At 45.3% G+C, this 17118-nt stretch overlaps 1 protein-coding gene across 7 annotated transcripts in view; it reads left to right on the plus strand.

Moving 5' to 3' along the window:
* Positions 1–22: 22 nt before the first annotated feature.
* The window catches only part of SLC22A14 (solute carrier family 22 member 14), a 39744-nt gene continuing 22648 nt past the window's right edge, over positions 23–17118 (plus strand). For 4 of the 7 annotated variants that reach the window (XM_006713416.4, XM_006713418.5, XM_006713417.4 and 1 more), the window contains exon 1: positions 23–3644. In XM_006713416.4, the coding sequence (XP_006713479.2) occupies positions 3402–3644 (243 nt within the window). In that variant the 5' untranslated portion in view covers positions 23–3401. Of the gene's footprint in view, positions 3733–17118 lie in introns of all 7 variants that reach the window. The other 3 variants (XM_047449237.1, XM_047449236.1, NM_001320033.2) reach the window with 3 other exon arrangements.

Genomic DNA, 17118 nt, shown 5'->3' on the forward strand with positions numbered 1-17118 from the left:
ACTCTATCTCAAAAAAAAAAAAAAAAAAAAAAGATGGCCTTCTTAGATGGGCGCCCATAAAGAGACCTCAAGCCGGACTGCCTTCCTCAGCACCTCCTTAGCCTGCAAGAACACCATATATCATTGTGTCACCAAATGGTAGATAGAAAAAGAGCTTGCCTGGCCACTGCCCCTGCCTTGCCCCAGCTAACCTCCCACTAGGGAGAAGGTTTCAGTCTCTCTTCTCACAGGCACCCCAGCTTGCTCACCTTCTCCTGCATGGCTGGTTCGGGGTTGGGCGTAGATGCTGGACCAGTTTCCTGTAAACCCAGCATGGAAGTGTTCAGCACCTGTCTTCCAAACACATGGATATTCCTCACTCACGATTCTCAGCTTTGAAGTGCTAGACAAAAGCTCTATTTAGCTTCCTACTGTGTGCCCATTCATGGCATCCTCTTGGGGAATACTAGCAAGTCTTTCTGGGCACAATGTGTCTCTCAGGCTGAAACTGCCAAGGGGTGCGGAAAACCAGATAGAAGTGGGGAAAGGGCCATTTCCCAGCTAAAGGCAGTTTCCTCCTCTAAGATATGGACACTTGCTCCCTTTAAGACGGAATGATTGTCATTCCCAGGAAGAGACCTGAATGGCCAAGACTGGCTAATTTTTGTATTTTTGGTAGAGATGGGGTTTTGCCAAGTTGGCCAGGCTGGTCTCAAACTCCTGAACTCGTGATCCGCCCACCTCGGCCTCCCAAAGTATTGGGATTACAGGCATGAGCCACCATGCCTGGTCCCTGGAGACTTTTTCTTTCCTTTTTGGGGGGATTATGGTTGGTTGGGGAGAAAGATTTTTTTTTTTTTCTGTGTGTATTTAAAAGTGTCCTGTGGTTTGCTCTGATGAATGGGTAAGTGTCCTTTAGCAGTCACTGATGGGAGGTTGGCTGCTGAGGCCTCTGGGACTCTGAAGGAGAAGATATGCAGCTTCACTGGACCCTGGTTGTGTATCTCCTTGATTTTGCTCCTCAAAGGTTACGGCAATGGTGACTATCAGTCCTAAACATTTAGTCCAGGTGTGTGAAAGCGAAACTGTGCCCCAAACAGTTAAAGACACCAATGACTAACAGAAATTCTTGAGTTTGCAGGATGGTAGGTAAGCAAAGAAACAACTTGCTGAGATGCTGAAAGTCCCTCCACTTGTAAGACAACAAAGCTGGCTAAAATAGGTTGGAACCAATGTGGCCAACTAGAGTCTGTGCAGTACCTGCTTGCTGACATCACAGCCTGAATTTCCACTGCGTGTTTCATACTCACTCCCCCCGTACCTGCCCATGTGATCTATGAGGTGTCATGAAGAGAACTGCGCATGCTGGAGGACTTTCCAGGCCTCCTCTTTCCTTCCACTAATCACCTGCTAATCTCAGAATCCCGACACCTTTTCTAATAAAAACACTGCCTTAGCACCAGCCCAGGGAGACAGATTCAAGCTGGACTCCTGTCTCCGTGTCGGCCGGCCTATAATTACAAGCTTTTCTTTTCTCAAAAACCCGGTGTCATCATATTGGCTTCTAGCACATTGAACAGCAAGCCCCTTTCTGCCTAGAAACAATCTGACCCTCATATTTACTAGTTTTCTCAACCTGTAACCAAGGGAAACAAAAATGACCTCCTAAATTTTTAACAAAGGCAATCAACATTTGTAGCTGGTATGAATATTTGTTCTGTAAACTCATATCTGCAGGCAACAGAATGTTTCTTTAGCCTATGAGCCTCCATCTTGCTGAGCTGATTGGAAATTCATCTCAGCTGTTATTGGGGCTCTTCTCAACCCAGAGAGTTCTGGGATCTTTTTTTTTTTTTTTGAAAAGGAGTCTCAGTTTGTCACCCAGGCTGGAGTGCAGTGGTGCAATTCTCTGCTCACCGCAACTTCTGCCTCCTGGGTTCAAGCGATTCTCTTGCCTCAGCTTCCCGAGTAACTGGGATTACAGGTGTGCGCCACTGCGCCAGGCTAATTTTTGTATTTTTAGTAGAGACAGGGTTTTGCCATGTTGGCCAGGCTGGTCTTGAACTCCTGACCTCAGGTGATCCGTCTGCCTCAGCCTCCCAAAGTGCTGGGATTACAGGCGTGAGCCACCATGCCCAGCCGAGTTCTGGGATCTTATGTAACCAAAACAAACCAAAACAAAGGGGTGCTCCCACCCTGCTCTTCAGTCTCACTGATGGCTTCTGGGTGCTCACTGTGCTGTCTGCTTGGTCCCTTTGACCCCCAGAGTGCTGCTGCTCAAGAGTGGGGAACTCTAGGGGGGATGAGGGGCCTAGGACCAACCACTGAGGTGACCTGCAGACACCCCGAGGGAGGTCTGGTGAAAGAGGAAGGATCTGATGCCCCAGATACCAATAAGATTGCAGTGCCCTGCCCCCAAACAAGTGAAGATTGAGCCATAGGAAACTGCAAAAGAGCTGTAAGTAGGTTTCCCTGTGATCAATACTTCATTTTTTTTCAAATATATGAAATTCTTTTAATTTTTTTTTGTGTCTTAAGTGTCTGTGTTAGTCCATTTTCTGTTGCTTATAACAGACTGCTTGAAACTGAGTTATTTATAAAGAAAAGAAATTTATTTCTTACAGTTCTGGAGGCTGGGAAGTCCAAGGTTTAGGGAATACATCTGGTAAGGGCCTTCTTGCTGTTGGGAACTCTGCAGTCTCCCAAGGGGGCACAGGTGAGGGAACCGAGCAAGCTAGCTTGTCTTTCTTCCTCTTGTTATAAAGTCACCAGTCCCATTCTCATAACTCATTAACCCATTAATCTACTAATCCATGATTGGTGATTCATGGATTAACAGATTACACTCATGACCCAATTACATCTTAAAGGCCCCATCACGCTACCACACTGGAGATGAAGTTTCAACATGAGTTTTGGAGAGGACAAATATTAAGCCATAGCAATGCTCTAATTTTGTTGAGGTCCTAAGTACATGCTGTACTGGTACAAGGATGGTCTGCCTTGTACTAGGCCCTGTGCTGGTTTTCCTGTCCTGCCACTTTGGCCTCCCTTCCCCCAAGCATGAAGCTTGAAGCCCTGTTCCTGCAATCTGGCAGAGGAGGCTTCTAGCTTATGGGGGAGATGGGTCAGACCCCGGCAGCTCTGACCAAGGCTGGTTGGCAGGGGAGTGTCACGGAGAGACAGAGCAGAAGTGAGTGGGGTAGGGCCAAGCCATTTCCAGCTGTGGGCTCAGGAAGGCTTGAAGGATAGTTGATAAATGAGTGATATCTGGAAGGACAGGAGAATTTCCGAGAGTGGAGGTGGAGCCCTCGTGTGGAGGAAACAGCCTGCACAAAGACAGGGGCAGGGGGGTTCGTGTGGCAGTTTTCCTGACCTGCCTTGCCCCTGGAGGCTACAGCCAGTTGTGTCCCTGGAGTAGAATGCTGACCCTCACCATTCCCAGCTCACCCCAAGGACCTCCCCACCCCATTGTGACACTACTTCCTGGACACCAGTGGAGCTCAAAGGTTCTGCTTCCAAGGGTCTGGCTGGGCCTGGATTGTGGTCAGGTGGGCCCTGGCTTTGGCTTGCGGTCCTGCCTACAGGGAGGCAGGGCCGGGAGGGTGTGGAGAGTAGAAATTATGATGACCCCTGGCAATTTTGCGGCCGCGTTCTCAGCACAGGTGTGGACAGGAGCCTGCCTGGGCCTGTTTGGCTGTGGGGAATCTGTGGAAGGAGCGGGCTGCCCTCCCAGAAAGCGTGAGTTCTCAGGTGTGGCGTCTGGCCATCTCCTGCGGCAGGTGGAGTGCTCCTCCTGGCTATGCTTCTCCCAGGCCTCAGTTACCTCTTTGGCACATTGAGAGCCAATTGCCTGGGGCCTGTCCACCTGGCAGAGGACCTTTGGGATGAGTAGAGGGAGTGAGTGCTCCAGGGTATTGGGGTATCAGGTGGTGCTGGGGGATGCTGAAGCGGTCCCTGCAGAGGGAGGCTGGTACAGATGGCTCTGGTCCAGAAGCCACATCTCTGAGAGGACAGCGGAGGCTCTCCCTCCCTGGAAAGTCTCCTTTATCCACCTCCACCCTCTCCAGCCTTACACACATACATCCTGTATTGGTTTCCTATTGCTGCTATAACAAATGCCCACACTTAGTGGCTTGAAACAGCAGAGACTTATTACCTTATGGTTTTGGAGGTCAGAAGAACAAATGGGCCTCAGCAGGCTAAGATCAAGGTCTCAGAAGGATTGCCTTCCTTTCTGGAGGCTCTAGGGCAGAGCTCATTTCCTTCCTTGCCTTTTCCAGCTTCTAGAGCCTCCTGCATTCCTTGGCTCTGGGACCCCTTGCATCTTCAAAGCCACCGACGGCTGCCCAAATCTTTATCACGCTGCATTTCTTTGGGTCTTATGCATTTAAGGATCCTGGGATTAATGGGACCTACCTGACAATCCAGGATAATCTATTTTAAAGTCAGCTAAGTAGTAACCTTAACTTCATCTGTAACTTTAACCCCCCTTGCCATGTAAGGAAACATATTTACGAGTTCTGAGGATTAGGCATAGATCTCTCCGGGGGGCGCTTATGCAGCCTCCCCCACCTCCCAGCACACACACATCTAAGCATGCTCTCCCTCTGTGTTCCCTGCCTCTTATGCACCTCCAAATTCTGCTGAGATAAGGGATCCCGAACTCAGGGCCAGGCAGGAGGCAAAGACAAGTGAAATGGGGAAATGGTGCTGGGCTCTGCTGGGCCTCCTGCATGCACACATCAGAAGTAGCAGGAGCCGGGTGCAGTGGCTCACGCCTGTAATCCCAGCACTTTGGGAGGCCGAGGCGGGAAGATCACTTGAGGTCAGGAGTTCGAGACCAGCCTGGCCAACATGGTGAAACCCCATCTCTACTAAAAATACAAAAATTAGCCAGGCGTGGTGGCTTGCACCTGTAGTACCAGCTACTCGGGAGGCTGAGCCAGTAGAATCACTTGAACCCAGGAAGCAGAGGGTGCAGTAAGCCGAGATCACACCACTACATTCCAGCCTGGGTGACAGACCGAGATTCTGTCTCACAAACAAACAACAACAACAACAATAATAACAAAAAACAGAGCAGACTCTCAGTCTAAAGGAGGGGCCCCTGCTCAGATTTGCTAATTGTTGCCAGATGGGAATGCTGTCCCATTGGCCAAACTTCAAAAAGAAAATGCTGCATTTATGTGAAATCAACTTTTGGCAGTTAAATCACATTCCAAGACACAGTGAGGCACCAAATGGGCTAGCCAAGGGAAATGTGTCTGCAGGCTGGATTTGTCCCGTAGACGATGAGCTGGAGACCTCTTCCCTGGATTATGGAACAGCAGTCGCAGTCTGAGAAGGAGGCATCCCCCTCGTGTGACTGGTAGAAAACTAGGGGCCCAAGAGGGAAAGGGGACTCCTCCTCAAGCAGACAGCTCTTCTCCATCCCTGTCCGCCCTGTCCGATAGTAGAGCGAGGGGCTCATGGTGGCTTCTGAAAGTGGCCCTAGCCTTGGCTAGGGCTAGTGGGGCAGCTTGGTGACATGCCCAGGTGAGGACCCCATGGGGGCTGGGGGCCAGGCTGGGTCACTCCTCCAGGGCCGGCCTAAGAGGGATAGATTTGGCGAATGCAGCTCGGCCTCCCCACAGATCCCTGCCCTCTAGGCCCACCACAGTGCCATCCCCAGCCAGGCAAGGGCCCCTGGTGTCCCAGCCAAGGCCCGTCCTCTAAAGAATTCTCTGAAGAAACTTTCCCAGAATGCTGGGAATGTGCAGGGATCTTGGCAGAAATGAGAGGAAGAACTTAGAAAGGAGGCCTCCGCTAATCATTACAATATGCCTCAGTGTCTTCTGCAGTGCTTAGGGAGCAAGTTCCCGTGAGACGAAGGACCAGAGCGTAGGAAATGTGAGAATACATGGAAGAATGTCCCCTTCAAGGACACCTGGCCTGACAATGTGGGTGATCAGCCTCCCACAAAATTAAAAAAAAAAAATCACAAGAACAGAGACAAGGGTTCTCATCATACTACGAAATGACCGAAAAGCAATACAAATTATAAGACCCAATGCTGCTGGTGGGACTGTAAGGAAATGGACACCTCGTGAACTGTTGTGGACTCTGAAATGGGTTGCTCTTTCCGGAGGACATTACGAGCCTATGTTATAAGAGCCATATAAACAATCCTACTTCTTGGACCTTAGCCCAGGGAAGAAAGACAGCCTTCTGCACCATAATGTGTACAGAAAAGTTGTCTGGGGTAGTGAGGAAGCAGTGAGAAACAGCCTTGGTGCCCAGTAGCTACCATGAAGTAAACAGCACCTTAACAAAGATTCCGTAGCCATTAACATGATCAATGTGAAGATGAGTTTTGGCTGTGGAAAATACTAAGAGCAAGTAGTAGCAGGCAGAAGTTCACTACACTAAACAGGGGATACCCCCACCACAGTGGGGGACTGCTGCCTTTATCAGTCTCCAGCAGAGGGGAGGGGGCCCTGCAGGAAGAGCAGGAGTGGATGTTTCAGGAGAGGGTCCTTGGGCACAATATTTTTTCAAAATAAAAACAGACACGTGTGAATCCATCACCCACCCAAAGCACCAGAACATTTCTAATGATTTCAGTCCACCTCTTCCTTGACATCATTCCTCTGTCTCCCCTCAGAGATGGTTTCCTGAATTTCATCCTTGCTGTTAAAAAAAATCTATAGTTTTATTGCATGACATACTGAAATTATTTCTTTAGTCTTGCTTGTTTCCAAACTTTATAAAAAGAGCATCAGTTTTCTGAGGCTTACTTTTTTCACTGAACATCCTGTTTTTGAGACTCATACAGGTTGATGGATGGAGCTGAAGCTTCTTCATTTTCATTGCTATATTGTATTCCACTATATAAATCTACTACAATTTAGGCATTCTTTCATTGATGTGCATTTGGGCTCTTTTTTCACAGTTGAAAAGTGTCATGAACATTTTGGTACTTATTTCCTGGATCATATGTACAAATGGCTCCCTAGAGTATATACCTGGGGGTAGCATTGCTGGGTCATAAGGTATACAGGTATTCAACTTTATAAGACAATGCCAAATTGTTTTCCAAAGTGGGTCTATGAATAATTCTGCCAGGAATGTATGCAAGATAGTTTTCTCCACCACTTGGTGTTATCAAACTTCTCAATTTGGCCAGACATGATGGCTCACACCTGTAATCCCAGCACTGTGGGAGGCCGAGGTGGGCAGATCACCTGAGGTTGGGAGTTTAAGACCAGCCTGACCAACATGGAGAAAACCCGTCCTACCCAGTCTCTACTAAAAATACAAAATTAGCCGGGTGTGGTGGTGCGCGCCTGTAATCCCAGCTACTTGGGAGGCTGAGGCAGGAGAATTGCTTGAACCCAGGGGGTGAAGGTTGCGGTGAGCTGAGATTGTGCCATTGCACTCCAGCCCAGGCAACAAGAGCAAAACTGTCTCAAAAAACAAAAAACTTCTAAAGTTTTGTCAATCAAATGAGTATAAATATCCTACCATGGTCTTGATTTGCATTTCCCTCATTATTAAAGAGGTTGAGCATCTTCACATGTTTGTAGGCCACACGAGTTTCCTCTTCGTAAAATACCTGTTCAGGTCTTTGGCCCATTTTTCTTTTCTTTTCTTTTTTTTTTTTTTAGACAGAGTCGCTCTGTCACCCAGGCTGGAGTGCAGTGGCACCACCTCAGCTCACTGCAACCTCTGCCTCCTTCAAGCAGTTCTCCTGCCTCGGCCTCCCGAGTAACTGGGATTACAGACGTGTGCCACCACGCCTGGCTAATTTTTGTATTTTTAGTAGAGACTGGGTTTCACCATGTTGGCCAGTCTGGTGTCGAACTCCTGACCTCAGGTGATTCCACCCACCTCGACCTCCCAAAGTGCTGGGATTACAGGCGTGAGCCACCGTGCCTGGCCCTGATTTGTGTGGGTTTTTTTTTTGTTTGTTTGTTTTTGAGATGGAGTCTTGCTCTGTTGCCCAGGTGGGAGTGCAGTGGCCAGATCTCAGCTCACTGCAGCCTCTGCCTCCTGGGTTCAGGTGATTCTCCTACCACAGCCTCCCGAGTAGCTGGGATTACAGGTGTGCACCATCATGCCTGGCTAATTTTTGTATTTTTTTTTTACTGGAGACCGGGTTTCACCACATTGGCCAGGCTGGTCTTGAACTCCTGACCTCAGGTGATCCACCCACCTTGGCCTCCCAAAGTACTGGGATTACAGGTGTGACCCACTGTGCTTGGCTTGATTTGTGGTTCTGTACATACTCTTTACATAGTCTTGATCCTAGTCCTTTTTCAGATATAGGTGTGTGTGTGCGTGTGTGTGTGTGTGCAAATATCTCCTTCCAGTTGTGTCCAGTTTTTTTCCACTTTAAGATTTTCATTTTTAAGTTTTGTCTGCTTAAAACTGCTATATTGCTAAATTTGGCAAGTTTAATATTGCTATATTGTATTTCACTGTATAAATATACTACAATTTACACATTCTTATATACCTGTAGTCAAATTTATAAATTTAAAATTTTGTGGTTAGCACAAAACAGCATAGTTTTTGTGTCTTGATTAGGAAATCCTTCCTCACCTGAAAGTCAGAAATAGATTCCCTTATATTTTCTATTAAAAGTGTTGTTCTTGAAATTTAAGGCCTTAATAGGGCTGGAATTTTTGTTTATGATATGATGAATCTAATTTTAATTTATTTTTCCATTTACTGACCTATCATGCCACTCCCCTCTCAGATATCAAAACTTTAAATTTGCATGGATATATTTCTGGGCTTTCTATTAGCTATTTCTATGTTGGCATATTCTCATTAATTCATATAACTTTATAATAAAGTTTGATAATTTGCAGGGCACATCATTCTTATTATTCTTCAGAATTTTCTTAGGTATTTATGCCCTTTGTCCTTCAATATACATTTTAGAATCTTCTTGCCAAAAATAATTTTATAAAAAATACCTTTTGGATTTTGACTAGAGTTGTGTTGAATCTACAGATCAATATGGAGAACTGACAACTTTTATTCATGACCATGAGATAGCTCTACATTTACTTTTCTTTCTTCATATATTTCTGTATGTTTTATCATTATTTTACACATAGGTCTTGTGCATATTTTTAAACCATTTTTTAAAATGTAATATATACACAACACAAAATTTAACATCTTAACCATTGTTAAGTGCACAGTTCAGTGGCATTAAGTAATTCACATCATTGTGCAACCCTCACTACCATCCATCTCCGGAACGATTTCATTTTCCCAAGCTGAAATTCTGTACCTACTACATAATAACTCCCCTTTTCCTCCTCCCTCAGTCCCTGGTAACCACCATTCTACTTTCTGTGTCTATGAATTTGACTAGGTACCTCATATAAGTGTAATCATACATGTCCTTTTGTGATTTGGTATTTCACTTAGCAGAATGTTTTCAAGGTTCATTCATACTGTAACATGTATTATAATTTTATTCATTTTTAAGGCTGATCTATATTCCATTGTATGTATACACCACACTTTCTTTATCCATTCATCCATCCATGGACATTTGTGTTGCTTCCACCTTTTGTCTATTGTGAACAATGCTGCTGTGAACATGGGTGTACAAATCTGTTTGAGCTCCTGCTTTCAATTCTTTTGTGTATGTACCCAGAATTAGATTGTTGGATCAAATGGTACTCCTATTTTTAATTTTTTTAGGGACCATCATACTGTTTTCCATGGTGGCTACACCCTTTTACATTCCAATACAAAAGGGTTCGAATTTCTCCACATCCTCACCAATATTTGTTTCCTTTTCTTTTAAAAAATTAATAATTGTCATCCTAATGGGTGTCTTGTACATATTTTGTTAGGTTGTTTCTAATCTATATTTCAATATTATAAATGGTATCTTTTAAAGTTTCCCATTTAAAAAAATCATGTTAGTTTGAAATGATTAAAAAAATTAATAATAGTCATCCTAATGGGTGTCTTGTATGTATTTTGTTAGATTGTTCCTAATCTATATTTCAATATTAAAAATGGTATCTTTTAAAGTTTCCCGTTTTTAAAAATCGTCTTAGTTTGAAATGATTTTAGGGTTTTAACAAAAGTTGTGAGACTGGGCACAGTGGCTCATACCAGTAATCCCAGAACTTTGGGAGACCAAGATGGGAGGATCACTCGAGGCCAGAAGTTCAAGACCATCCTGGGCAACAAAGTGAGACCTGATCTCTACAAAAAATAAAAAAATTAGCCCTGCATGGTGGCACACACCTATAGACATAGCTTCTCTGAAGGCTGAGACAGAAGGCACACCTAAGCCCGGGAGTTCAGCTGCAGTGAGCTATGATTGTGCCACTGCAATCCAACCTGGGTGACAGAGTGTGACTCTATCTCTACAAAAAAAAAAAAAAAAAAAAAAAAATTGCAAAAAAATGAACACAGACTTCCCATTCCTTCCACACCCAGATTCCCCTAATGTTGGCATCTTACTTATCTAACCCAGAAAATTAACACTGACATGATACTATTAACTAATCTATAGACCTAACTTGAACTTGGCCAGTTCTCCCACTAACATTCTTTTCCCAGTCTGAGATCCAATCCAGGATCCCACACTGTGATTCGTTGTCATGTTGTTACCCAGGGGGTCCTTGCTTCCAGAGCTCCCAAGATGGTGGCGGGCTGCTTCCAAGATGGCAGCAAGCCTCTTGTTCTCTGACCTGGGGTTCTTGGCCTCAAGGATTCTAAGGAATGGAATCTTGGGCCATGCGGTGAATGTTATAGCTCTATTAGAAGCTGTGGGTCACGGAAGAGAACCATGAAACCCAGCTACTAGTGTTCAGCTCGATTAGGATGAACCCAGGCACTTAGCCATGCGGGAACAATGGCAAGCCTTTAGCCCGATCCGGAGTGGCAATGGGCGCCTCACTGGATCAGGAGCAGAGCAGACACCCTGCCAGATCCGGAGGGGTGGAAGTCAGCGGCGGGTCTGCAACAGCGACAAACAGCAGTGGTGGACGGCAAGCGAAAACTTAGCTTGAGCTGTAACAAATATGGACCAGAAGAGTGTGCAATTGCAAGATTTTATACAGTGAAAACAGAGCTCCCATACAAAGGGAGGGGACCCAAAGGGGGTAGCTGTTGCTGGCTTGAATGCCTGGGTTTATATCCTGATCATTGTCCCTCCTGCTGTGCTCTCAGGCAATAGATGATTGGCTATTTCTTTACCTCCTGTTTTTGCCTAATTAGCATTTTAGTGAGCTCTCCTTACTATCTGATTAGTCGGGTGTGAGCTAAGTTGCAAGCCCTATGTTTAAAGGTGGATATGGTCACCTTCCCAGATAGGCTTAGGGATTCTTAGTTGGCCTGGGAAATCCAGCTAGTCCTGTCTCTCAGTTCTCCCTCTCAACAGGAAAACTCAAGTGCTGTTGGGGAGGTTGGCCAATGACTGCTCTAACTGCTTCCTGCGGAATTGGGGCGTAGTAGGGGTCATGCAGTTGAGATTTCCTTGGGAGGGGCGCCTTCGATGTCATCAACATTGGAGCGTGGGCTAGCAGGCCAGTCCAGGGGTCCGTGGTAGATCTTAGTCATGGACTGCATCTGGGGCTCCATTTGAAGATCGATTTGTAGTTTTACAGCTTTGATTCTGGAAGAGACAAACTTAACAAAGAGGTTAAAGAGACAGGGATTGAAATGTATGGCCTGCAGTGTAGGGGATTATTTCTTTGGCACACTTTACAGGCCCTGACTATCTGCTTGACAGTTTTTAAAAGGCCTAGTCCAGTAAACAATAATTTGGCCATCTGATGGGTGCTATCAATGCCTAAGTGAAAGGTTTGGTGAAGGATTTTAAGTAATTTTCATTGGTTAGCTGCAGGCAAAAGTATTTTTCCTTCTTCGTTGGCTAGCCATCCTGAGAGGAGGAAACTATGTCCTCATGAGGTTCCCTATTCTATTTCTCCTGTTGAGTACTGGGGCTTGGTTTCCCAGAGGGGATTAACCCATACTAGGGGTCCTTCTATAAGCATTTTTAATGAAGGGTCCTGCTTTGTGGCTCTTTTGGCTTCAATATCTGCTTGGTGGTTCCCTTCTATTTCCTTTTCCTTTCCTTTCTGATGACCCTGGCAGTGTAAGACTGCCACCTCTTTAGGTTTCTGTACAGCCAATAATAATCTCCTAGTGGCTTCCTGATGTTTGATAGGTGTTCCCTCAGAAGTTAGGAATTTCCTTTCTCTCCATATTGCTGCGTGGGCATGGAGGACTAGGTAAGCATACTTAGAGTGTGTATATATATTTACCCTTTTTCCTTCTCCTAATTTTAGTGCCAAAGTGAGGGCTATTAGTTTTGCCAGCTGAATGCTAGTTCCTGGAGTGAGGGGATTACTTTCAAGTATTTAATTATTACTGACCACTGCATACCCCGCTTTTCGAAGTCCTTTTTCTACAAAGGAACTTCCATCAGTATACAAGTTGAGGTCGGGATCAGTCAAGGGAACCTCTAGAAGGTCCCCTTGAGCGGCGTAGGTTTGAGCAATCACCTGTTGACAGTTAAGTTCTATCTTTTCTTCATTGTCTGGAAGAACTGTGGCTGGGTTAAGAGTTGCACAAGTGCACAGTTGCGGCACTGGCCCTTCAAGTAATAGAGGCTGATATTTAAGCAAAAAGTTGTCTGACAGCCACAAGTCTCCTTTAGCAGTGAGTATGCCATTTATATCATGAGATGTCCACACAGTAAGATTTCTTCCCTGTATTATTTTAACTGCTTCAGATACTAGGACTGCTACTGCCGCCACTACCCGTAAACAGTGAGGCCAACCTTTTGCCACTACATCAATTTCCTTACTGAGGTATGCCACGGGATGCAAGCTGATCCCTCAGACCTGTGTAAGGACTCCTAGAACTATTCCTGTTTTTTTCTGTGACATATAAAGAAAAGTCTTGCCCCGTTGGCAAGTTTAACACTGGGGCTTGGGTTAGGGCCTTCTTTAGGGCCTGGAAAGCTGCTTCTGCTTCAGGTGTCCATCTTACTAAATGGGTATTGGCTTTTTGAGTTTCCTTAATTAGTGTATATAATGGCCTGGCTATTTCGCCATACCTGGGAATCCATATTTGGCAGAAGCCTGTTATGCCAAGGAACTCCCTTAGTTGCTTTAGGGTTTTGGGATGAGGAAAAGCCAGTGTAGGCTGGATACATTCTTCACTGAGGGTCCTGGTGCCTTTGGATAATTTTAGCCTTAAGTATTTAACCTGCTGTGAGCAGAGCTGAGCCTTTGGTTTGGAAACCTTGTAGCCACAGGTGGCAAGGAAATTTAAGAGCACTTGGGTGGCTTGATGGCACAAGGTTTCTGAACGGGTGGCTAAAAGTAAATCATCCATGTACCAAAGGACAAGAGTGTCCAGGTATGAGAACTGGCTCAAGTCTTGGGCTAATGCCTGGCCAAATAGATGGGGGCTATATCCCTGAACTCTTGGGGTAAAACAGTCCAGGTGAGTTGAGATGTTGGGTTAGAAGGATCTTCAAAGGCAAACAAGAATTGAGAGTCAGGATGTACAGGGATGCAGAAAAAGGCATCCTTAAGGTCCAGGACTGTAAACCACTCTGCTTCCTCTGGTATTTGGGAAAGCAGAGTATAAAGGTTAGGTATAGCTGGGTATAGAGGGACAACAGCCTCATTGATAATCCTGAGATCCTGCACTAACCTCCACTGTCTGTTGGGTTTCTGTACTCCTAAAATTGGAGTATTGCAGGGGCTACTGCATGGTTTTACTAGGCCTTGGGCTTTTAGGTTCTTAACAATTTTTTGGAGTCCTTGTTGGGCCTCGTGTCTAAGGGGGTACTGCCTTTGGTAGGGAAAGGAGGCAGAATTCTTTAGTTTAATTTGAACAGGACGGGAATTCTTTGCTTGTCCATATTGTCCTTCTGTTGCCCAGACTTCAGGATTAATTCCTTCCTCAAGCAGGGGACAACAAATGGGTGTTCCTTCTCCTATGTTCGGGTGTGTAATGGCTCCTGCTTTTGCTAGAATGTCTCTCCCTAACAAGGAAATGGGGCTTTCAGGCATAATTAGAAAATCATGTGAAAAGAGTAAAGTTCCCCAGTCACAACTTAGTGGCTGGGAGAAGTATCTAGTGACTGGCTGTCCTAGGAGCCCTCGGATAGTGACAGATCTGGAGGACAGTTGTCCAGGACAGGAGAGTAAGACTGAGAAGGCTGTGCCAGTGTCCAGGAGACAGTTAACCTCCTGGCCCTCAATGGTCAAGCATACCCAGGGCTCTGTGAGGGTGATGGCATGGGCTGGTGCTTGCTCCGGGAACCCTCAGTCCTGCTGCTGGATCATCTAGTTAGTGGCTTCTGACTCAGAGGACCTTCATCCCCTGGGGCAGTGGGCCTTCCAGTGATGCCCTTGACATAAGGGGCGTGGATGAGGGGGCAGCTTATTTCTATTTGGACAATCTTTTTTAAAGTGTTCTTGTAGACCACACTGGAAGCAAGCCTTATTAGGCATTCAATTTGCCCAGCCTTTCCCTTTTCCAGAGCCTCCAAAGTTCGCTTGCCTGAGGGCCATGACTAAAGTGGTGGCCTTTTTTAAATCCCATTTGTCCCATTCCACCTGCTTCTCCTGATCTCTATTATAAAAAACCAAGGTTACCAAGTTCAATAGGGTTTTTAAGTTTTGCTCCGGGCCTAAGGCAGGCTTTTGAAGTTTTTTTCTAATGTCTGCAGCTGACTGAGTGATAAACTTATCCTTTAAGATTAGTTGGCCTTCAATAGAGTCAGGTGACAGGGAGGTATGCTTCCTCAATGCCTCCCTTAGTCTCACCAGAAAGGCGGTAGGATTTTCTTCCTTTCCATGTGTTACAGTGGACATCATTGAATAATTCACAGGCTTCTTTCTAGTTTTCCTTAGTCCTTCTAGCACGCAAGTTAGCAAATGTCTGCGGCACCAATTTCCATGTTCTGATTCTGTGTCCCAATGAGGGTCTACACTGGGAACTGCCTGCTGGCCTGTGGGGAATTGTTCTTTCCTCTGTTGTCATCCTATCATTGACCTGACTGAGATACCAGAGATCGCCAAACTCGCGGGCTCCAGTTATGGCATCACTTCTCTCATTTGGGGTTAATGTCGGATTTAGCAGTAACATTATATCTCTCCATGTCAGATCAAAGGATTGTCCTAACCCTTGTAAAACATCAATATAGCCATCTGGGTTATCTGAGAATTTACATAGGTCTATTTTAATTTGCTATAAGTATGAGAGAGAAAAAGGTACATGCACTCTGGCTGGGCTGAATTCTCCTCCTCCTACTGCTTGGAGGGGGCATAATAGGGAAATATTGGCACTCTTTGGTTCATTGTTTACCCCTTTGTTTATCTCCTTTTGGACCGTTTGGGTTGAAGGGGGGTTCTTATTAGTTGGGGAAGGAGTCGGGGGGACACTGGGGTAGGGAAGTAGACTCCGAGGGCTTCCTGTAGGGCATAAATCACACTTTTTACATAATTGTGAGTTGTCTGTTAATGAAAAGAAAGTTGGTACATGTGGCACTTCACTCCATTTGCCTTCTTTCTACAAAAGAGGTCTAGCTGTAAGATGGTGTTATAATTTATACTTCCCTCAGGAAGGCAGGTTTCTCTTGAAGAGGATATCATGGCCAGGTGGTACTGCAGAAGAAAATAAGTCATTTCTTTCTTAGCGTCTGAGGGTCAAATTGGTCCCAATTCTCCAGAATACATCTTAGGGTTGTTTTTGCCTTGGGGGGAATGCTTCCCATCAGAAAAAAGAACATAGGGATGCCAGCACCCCTAGTCATTTTCTGATGAGCATTAGTCCTAGAGCGTCCTCTATGGTCCTAGTGCTTATTCCTTTCCAGGGTGCGTAACCACCCATGGACCTCTGCTTATTGGATTAGTTATGCTCACCGATGTAGCAGTCCTGCACCTGTTTTCCCACCTTTCTTGACCACAGAGAAAGGGGTCCGGGCTGCTGGTTTCTAGTGGTACTTTACCAGCATGCCCAACATTGCCTTTGTGCTCAGGGGTGAGTCCTAGAGCTGGGCTGGGCTCCTGAGTATTTCATAACAACCCAGTTTGCCCCATCAAGATGCATTCTCATAAACAGTTCTTATGCAGATTCATTTCAGAGAGGGTGTAGGTAACTTTTTGAGTCAGGATTGAGATAAAGTTTTTTGATTCTGTAAGTACTTTAAGGCTTGGCTGAGTGCAAACAGATCCAACGTTTGAGCAGACCAATTATTAGGCAGTTCTCCTAACTCTGCTTCCACAAGAGTCTCCTTATCAATTACTGAATACCCATTGTGGTTTTTTTCTCAATCACCTGGGAGAAACCATCTATTGTCCTGTCCTGAAGGGAATTCCTCCTAGGTCTTGTCAGATCTTTGTACGGTAATTAAGATTTAAATCCCCTGTTAGGAAATCTGCTGGGTTAAGGGAATTATCAGTGGTTGGTGTTAAATTACCTTTTTCTAACAGAATAGCCCCATACTTTAAGATTTTTGAGTTAGTAAGCTACCTTTTTGCTTTTTTGACTTAGAATAATTCTGAACTGGTGAGGTGTGCTCACAATGAGGTTTCCTCTAAAAGTTACTTTTCTACTTTCTTCTGTTAGCAAAGCAGTTGCTGCTACAGATTGAATGCATTTGGGCCATCCGTGGGTTACTGGGTTAAGGATTTTTGATAGGAAGGCTATGGGTTGTCAGTGGTCTCAGTGTTTTTTTCAGGTTACGTCCTTGTTTACACTGACAACAAGGTAGTATTGGAGTGTTATAGGGTCACAGAGAAGACCTTCAATTATCAATTTTAGGTTTTAAATTTACCCTGGCTTTTAAAGGTGTAGGGCACACTGGGTTTTTTTAATTTTATTTTATTTTATTTCTATCTTTCTCTTTCTTTCTCTCTTTGACTCCCTCGTTGTCTCTCTGCCTCTTTCTCCTCTCTGTCTCTCTCTCTCCTCTCTGTCTCTCTCCTCTCTGTCTGTCTCTGTCTGTCTCTCTCTCTGTCTGTCTCTCTCTCTCTCTCTCTCTTTCTCTCTCTCTTCTTTTAGCCATTTACAAACTTGGGGCCCTGGCAAGGATGGTGGGGAATGGGTTTCACATAACTGCCCATGTTGAGAGCTATATACCTAAAT

The sequence above is a fragment of the Homo sapiens genome, chromosome 3 (genome assembly GCF_000001405.40).
Source record: "Homo sapiens chromosome 3, GRCh38.p14 Primary Assembly".
Taxonomy (NCBI): Eukaryota; Metazoa; Chordata; class Mammalia; order Primates; family Hominidae; genus Homo; species Homo sapiens.